Source organism: Homo sapiens, chromosome 2 (genome assembly GCF_000001405.40).
Source record: "Homo sapiens chromosome 2, GRCh38.p14 Primary Assembly".
Classification (NCBI taxonomy): domain Eukaryota; kingdom Metazoa; phylum Chordata; class Mammalia; order Primates; family Hominidae; genus Homo; species Homo sapiens.
In genome coordinates, this window is record NC_000002.12 from 101,503,414 (window position 1) to 101,510,763 (window position 7,350).

A 7,350-nucleotide genomic window follows, 5' to 3' on the forward strand; every position below is an offset into this window, starting at 1 on the left:
AGCTTTGATGGGCAACTGCAAAAGTTTTATTTTGAATAAACAGAAACAGCTTCCTTCTCCAAAAAAAAAAAAAAAAATAATAAGTGCTGGTAAGTGCTGAACTAATGCTTGTTGCCCAGGGGGATGTTCTTAAACTGCTTCAGCCCCACCCCAAGAGCAGGTGGAGAAAGAGGGTTCTGTCCTCAACACTCCTTGAGATGCCCAGGAGAAGAGGCATAGAGATGTGAGGGGAGGTTCACATGGGTGATACGATGGGAACCAGGCAAAATCTGGTGGTCGAAACAGGTACACAGGCAACTGTGAGGTTGGGGAGCTGCAACATGGTTTTCAAAGTGTGCTCTTCATACCAGCAGCGTGACTATCACCAGGGACTTAAAAATGCACATTCTCAGGCATTTGAAATGCACGTTCTCGGCCGGGTGCGGTGGCTCATGCCTGTAATCCTAGCACTTTGGGAGGCTGAGGCGGGTGGATCACCTGAAGTCGAGAGAGTTCGAGATCAGCCTGACCAACGTAGAGAAACCCCATCTCTACTAAAAATACAAAAAAAATTAGCCAGGCGTGGTGGCACCTGCCTGTAATCCCAGCTACTTGGGAGGCTGAGGCAGGAGAATTGCTTGAACCTGGGAGGTGGTGATTGGGGTGACCCGAGATCACGCCATTGCACTCCAGCCTGGGCAACGAGAGCAAAACTCTGTCTCAAAAAAAAAAAAAAAAGAAAGAAAGAAAGAAAAGAAAAGAAAAAGAAAGAAATGCATATTCTCAGGCTGTATCTACTCCAGCTTGACTGGGACCCAACTACACCTGAGTTCAAAATTCTGGGGATTGCCTGGGTGTGGTGGCTCATGCCTGTAATCCCATAACTTTGGGAGGCCATGGTGGGCAGATCACCTGAGGTCAGGAGTTCAAGACCAGCCTGGCCAACATGGCGAAACCCCATCTCTACTAGAAATACAAAAAAATTAGCTGGGCATAGTGGCGCACGCCTGTAATCCCAGCTACTTGGGACAATTGGGAGGCTGAGGCAGGAGAATCACTTGAATCCAGGAGGTGGAGGTTGCAGTGAGCCAAGATAGCGACATTGCACTCCAGCCTCGGCATCACGAGTGAAACTCTGTCTCAAAATAAAAAAATAAAAATTCCGGGGTGTGGGGCCCAGCCCACTGTGTTTCAACAAACCCTTGCAGTGATTTTGATGCATGCTGAGGCTGGAGAAGTCCTGGGTGGGAGAATTCCTGGTGTGGGCTGGGGCTGGGGCTGGAAGCCTCGTTCCTGGGTCTGAGGTAGCTGTGTACACCTGGGGAAGGCCCTGCTGGACCGACTGACTCCCCGCATGGAGTGAGCCCTGCTCAGCCCACTGCCAGCATCAGGCACTCGGCTCCCCTCAGTAGCAGGCCACAGAGCCTCTCCCTCTCTCCCGAGTGGCCAGGGGCGCTCTGGTTTTCTCCCAGTTTCTCCTCCCACCTCCTCACCTCCTCACCTCCTTTTAATCCGAGGGAAAGGCTTCCTGTTCTTTTATTTATTTATTTATTTATTTATTTATTTATTTATTTATTTTTTTTTTTTAATTTTTTTTTTTTTATTATACTCTAAGTTTTAGGGTACATGTGCACATTGTGCAGGTTAGTTACATATGTATACATGTGCCATGCTGGTGCGCTGCACCCACTAACGTGTCATCTAGCATTAGGTATATCTCCCAATGCTATCCCTCCCCCCTCCCGTTTATTGCGGCACTATTCACAATAGCAAAGACTTGGAACCAACCCAAATGTCCAACAATGATAGACTGGATTAAGAAAATGTGGCACATATACACCATGGAATACTATGCAGCCATAAAAAATGATGAGTTCATGTCCTTTGTAGGGACATGGATGAAACTGTAAACCATCATTCTCAGTAAACTATCGCAAGAACAAAAAACCAAACACCGCATATTCTCACTCATAGGTGGGAATTGAACAATGAGATCACATGGACACAGGAAGGGGAATATCACACTCCTGTTCCCTTTTCTCGTTTCCCTTCATTTCCTTACTTCTGCATTATCCTCAGACCATGAAACTAGTGGCTTGAAGGGAAGCAGAAAGATTTGTGGTCCATCCTTCTTGAGATAATGATGAACAGCCTAGAGTACTACACTTCCTCCTCCAAAAAAATAATAATAACACTGGCCCTGGGGGTCCCACACCCACCACGCCTCATCTCCAGACTCTTTACTAATGAGCATCTCATCTTGCATCCTTTATTTATTTATTTATTTATATATTTATTTATTTTTGAGACAGAATCTCCCTCTCCCAGGCTGGAGTGCAGTCATGCAATCACCTCTCACCCAGTGGGCTCAAGCGATCCTCCCACCTCAGCCTCCTGAGTAGCTGGGACCACAAGTGTGTGCCACCATGCCCGGCTAATTATTGTTAATTTTTCTAGAGATGGGGCCTTGCTATATTGCCCAGGCTGGTCTCAGACGCCTGGGTTCAAGTGATCCTCCCACCTTGGCCTCCCAAAGTTCTAGGATTAGGCATGAGCCACCGCACCCAGCCTAACATTTTTTAAATGGAATTAAAAAAGGCACAGAGATGGTTGGGGGAGTTTAAAGTAAGTAATATGTAAGTTAAAATAAGCGTAAATAAATAAGTTTGCAAATAAACCTAGCTCTGAACTCATTTGACAAAGCTCCCTCAACAGCAACCCAATGAAAGCCAGCAATAAAGAAATGAATAACGTAAGTACCAAGGTTCTTTTTGGCCACTCAGACCTGCAGGAAAGGGGACTCAGAAGGTGCTACTTAAGGCCAGAGGCCTCTACTTGACCCTTGCTGTGTACTTTGGCAAAGGTGGGATAATGGAGCTCACCCCAGAATACAGTGGGCCCCGCCTCAAAGAGCGAAGACAGACATAACGTCCAAGTTCATCTGGGGCTTCACAGAGATGACAACTTTCAGGAAAGTAGATAGAGCAACATCCTTCAAGTTATAGGAACCACCAAAACATGTCATTTTAATCTGATTTGGGGGCATCTTTTATCACTGGGTGGAAGAGGAGGATGGGGAAGGAAGGCCTGGGGGCTCAGCTGGGCTTCATTCCCAGCACCCACTCGGCTTCACTCTGCCCCTGTGATGCAGAAGTGGGAGCCAAGGCCCACCTGGCCCTTATGAGGGAGGCAGATGTGTGCAAAAGCACAGACAGCCCCCCAACATCTGCATGGGGCCCCCAGGCCCTCCGATGGCTACCTGAGACACCATTTGCCCATCCAAGTGTCAGTTCCCTCGGACTGGGGTCCCAGCCTTCAGTGGCACTCGGTTCAGCCGTCTGGTTTTTATCATAAACGAGGAGGGGGAGTAGTGGGATGGGGAAATATTCTTTTATTTAAGCCACTATAAATTCAACCTCTTTCCCCTCATCTTTCTCAAATTCTTCTTATGATACAGATGTTTTCTGCATCATTATCTGCTCAAATCTTGCCTAGAACCTCCATGTGTAGGAACAGATGTTTTAATGACTTTGGCCTCAAAGAAGACAGGGCCAAAGCAAAATTCTTCATTTACTTTGTTTGCAGCAAAACCAACAGCACATTCACAATTTGGGGCACAGAAGTTATAAATTTTAATTTTGTGGTGTGCAACCAAGGGGAAAATGAGGCAGCCACTGATATTCTGTTCAGGTGATATTGACGCTAAGGCTGAGGCCTTCAAACAGGTGTGTTCCTCGTCGTTCAGTGGACATTGACTAAACACCTGCCATGTGCCAGGCACTGTGCACAGGGGTGCAGTGGTAAATTAGACTTGGGTCCTAGACTCCAGGGGCTGAAATGGGGGCCCATAGGTGAAGACGCAGTGAAATAACCACAAAGGGGAAACCCCCATCTCTCTCATATTTGCTCTTGGGTGCGTCCATGCATTATTCAATACTTATGGCCCCAGGCACTGTGTGACAGTCCAGCCAGGGTGGGGGAGACCAGTAGGCAAGAACAACGGGATGTGAGAGGCAGGGAACATGATAGGGGTACACACAGGGTACCCTGGGGGGATTTAATAGAGCAGTATTTTATTAGTCTTTTTTTTTTTTTTTTTTTTTGAGATGGAGTCTCGCTCTGTCGCCCAGGCTGGAGTGCAGTGGAGCAATCTCGGCTCACTGCAAGCTCTGCCTCCCAGGTTCACACCATTCTCCTGCCTCAGCCTTCCAAGTAGCTGGGACTACAGGCACCCGCCACCATGGCCAGCTAATTTTTTGTATTTTTTGTAGAGACAGGGTTTCACCGTATTAGCCAGGATGGTCTCGATCTCCTGACCTCGTCATCCGCCTGCCTCGGCCTCCCAGAGTGCTGGGATTACAGGCGTGAGCCACCGTGCCCGGCCCACCTGGCTAATTTTTGTATTCTTAGTAAAGACAGGGTTTTGCCATGTTGACCAGGCTGGTCTCAAACTCCTGACCTCAGGTGATCTGCCCGCCTGAGCCTCCCAAAGTGCTGGGATTATAGGCGTGAGCCACCATGTCCAACCCATTGTTTTATTAGGATTCAGACCACTTAGGGCTTAGCCTTTTGACAGAAAGGAAACTGATTAAATTGTTACCTCCCTTTTTCTCCCCTAAGGGAGTTCAATGTCTGCCTGCTCAGCTTCTACTCTGCTCTCCTCTCCTATATTTATTTATTAGAGTAAGGGCCTTGCTGTGTCGCCAAGGCTGGAGTGCAGTGGTGTGATCGCAGCTCACTGCAGCCTCTAACTCCTGGGCTCAATAGATCCTCCCACCTCAGCCTCCCAAGTAGCTGGGACTACAGATACGCACCACCACACCCAGCTAATTTTTTTTTCTATTTTTCGTAGAGACAGGGTCTCACTATGTTGCCCAAGCTGGTCGCAGGCTCTCAAAGTGTTGGGATTATAGGTTTGAGCCACCATCTCTGACCTCTCCTCTACTTTAAATAAAGAGCTGCCTTTTTCACCCAGTTTGTGGACTTTTTGTGACACAGAATGGGAGGAAAGATAAAGATGAGGGGACGGGAGAGGTGAATGGAAGTGGAGAAGGACTGGGTGACCATCTGAGTGATAGCAGAAGCACTAAATAAATAAATAAATAAAATAAGAAGAAGCCAGAAAAAGGCTAAGTAGAGTTTCTCAGTGCAGAGAGTGTGGGAGGATGTAGAGACATGAGAAAATATTGCCCCACTGGCTGTTGGATTGATGGAAGCATGGTCTCACAGTGAGAACCCCAGAGCGGTCTCAGAGGAGAGAGAATCAGAAAGAAAAGGAAAAGGCATTTGAAGAGAGGCTGGGTCAGTGGTTTTCAAGGTGTGTTGAAGATTGTGTGTCCCTGGGACCCTTCAGGGCACCTGCATGCCTGCAAGTATTTTCACCATGACAGGAAGCTATTATCTGCCTTTTTTACTCCCTCCCTCATACTCGCACAGTGGAGTGTACTAGAAACCATCCGATGTGTGATATTGCCACTGGCGGAGTACAGAAGCAGCTCGGAGAACCCAGCTGTCTTCTATTAAGCCAGACATTAAAAAGATTTGCAAAAATGTAAAACAAGTCTACTCTTCCTGTTAAAGTTTTTTTAATACAGCCTTTTTTCAATAAAAAGTGTCACTTATCTTAACCAATGGATTTATTGTTTTTAAAGTGAATTAATAAAGATAATTTTTAAATTCTCAGCTCTAATTTCTAACAGAGTATATTAGTCTGTTTTCACGCTGCTTTATCAAGACATACCAGAGACTAGTTAATTTATAAAGAAAAAGAGGTTTAATGGGCTCACAGTTCCACGTGGTAGAGGAGGTCTCACAATCGTGGTAGAAGGAAGGGACGTCTCACATGGCGGCAGGCAAGAGAGAAAGGGGAAAGCCCTTATAAAACATCAGATCTCATGAGACTTATCACTACCTCAAGAACAGTATGGGGGAAACTGCCCCTATGATTCATTTATCTCCCACTGGATCCCTCCCATAATTCCAACACGTGGAAATTACGGGAGCTACAATTCAAGATGAGATTTAGGTGGGGACACAGCCAAACCATATCATAAAGTAAATAGCATTAGATGGAGGGCACATACACAAAAACTCTCGAGTTCCTCAATTTTATTTTATTTTATTTTTGGGAGTCTAGTCTTATTTATTGGTTACTTAAAAGAATCCTAATTTTGGCTGGACTCAGAAGTTGAATCTCACAGAGAGGACAGTGTGCATCTCTTGGCAATCTGTTCCTGGAGTTTGTCTTTGGCCTCCTTCATTCTCTTGGCCAAAAGTTCAGCGTATTTTGCAGCCTCTTCCTCATTTTTCTTAGTACACTGTTTCTTCAGAGCAATACGCCAGCATTTGTGTTGCAAGACACATGGAGTAACAAGAAGCTGAATCTTGGGTGCTTTGGTCCCAGGTTTTTTGCCTTCTTTAAGGGCTTTCTTAACAACAGATTGGTGGACACTATCTTCTTTAGAGAAACTGAAAAGTTTGTGGATTCTGCTAGCTCTTTTGGGCCCCAGGCGATGATGCTCCACAGTATCAGTCAGTCCAGGAATATCCTTCTATCCTCTTTTTTTTTTTCATAATAACGAAGTTTAGAAAGCTTGGATTGGCATCCACAATGCAACTGCAAACAGCTTCGTGCTTCTTGCCCCAGTTCTCCTTGCTCTGTAACAGGAATGCCCCTTGCTCAGTAGTACACAGACCCAGCCATGAGTCAAACACCCTGCTTCATGGGAAAGCTTGTTTGTCGTTCCTGTCGCTGATTCCCATCACAGAACCTTTCCATTCTTCACTCAGAGTGTCAGCAACAACTTCTGTGGCTGTATACTTCTCATAAAAAAATACAAAGTTTGCATTCCTCATCCACTTCAAGGAGCTTCTGGCAGCCGACAGCTAGAAAGGAGACATTCAGCTTCATCTTGAAGTGGCTGATTGCCTCTGAGGTGCCTCTAAAAAGAGCCCTCAATAATTTTAAAGAGTGAGACCAAAACGTTTGAGAATTGTTGGTGTAGGTTATAAAATTGGACTCCTTTTTTGTGCTTTTTGAGGGATTCATATAAAAGCTGGGCCATGTGGGCTCTTCATTCTTTGGGATCAGCCATAAGAACCCAAAAGGGGAAAAACAGACACAAATGTTATCCATTATTATTATTGTTATATGGACAGTAATCACAAAAAGACTGAATACACAACATACTCAGGATTATTTGGAAAACCAGGCATTGCCCAAAGATTTCATTGACAGTTTGCATCTTTGTATGTTACTGGAACACGTTGGTACAGTTGTCACTGGGAGATACAGCACTTAACTTTTAACAAAGGGTCTCTCAAACTAGGAGTCCAGGGATATATCTCAGGGGTCACCAGTTTCACAGATTT

At 45.7% G+C, this 7,350-nt stretch overlaps 1 pseudogene; it reads right to left on the bottom strand.

Moving 5' to 3' along the window:
• Nucleotides 6,108-6,930, bottom strand: RPS6P3 (ribosomal protein S6 pseudogene 3; annotated as a pseudogene).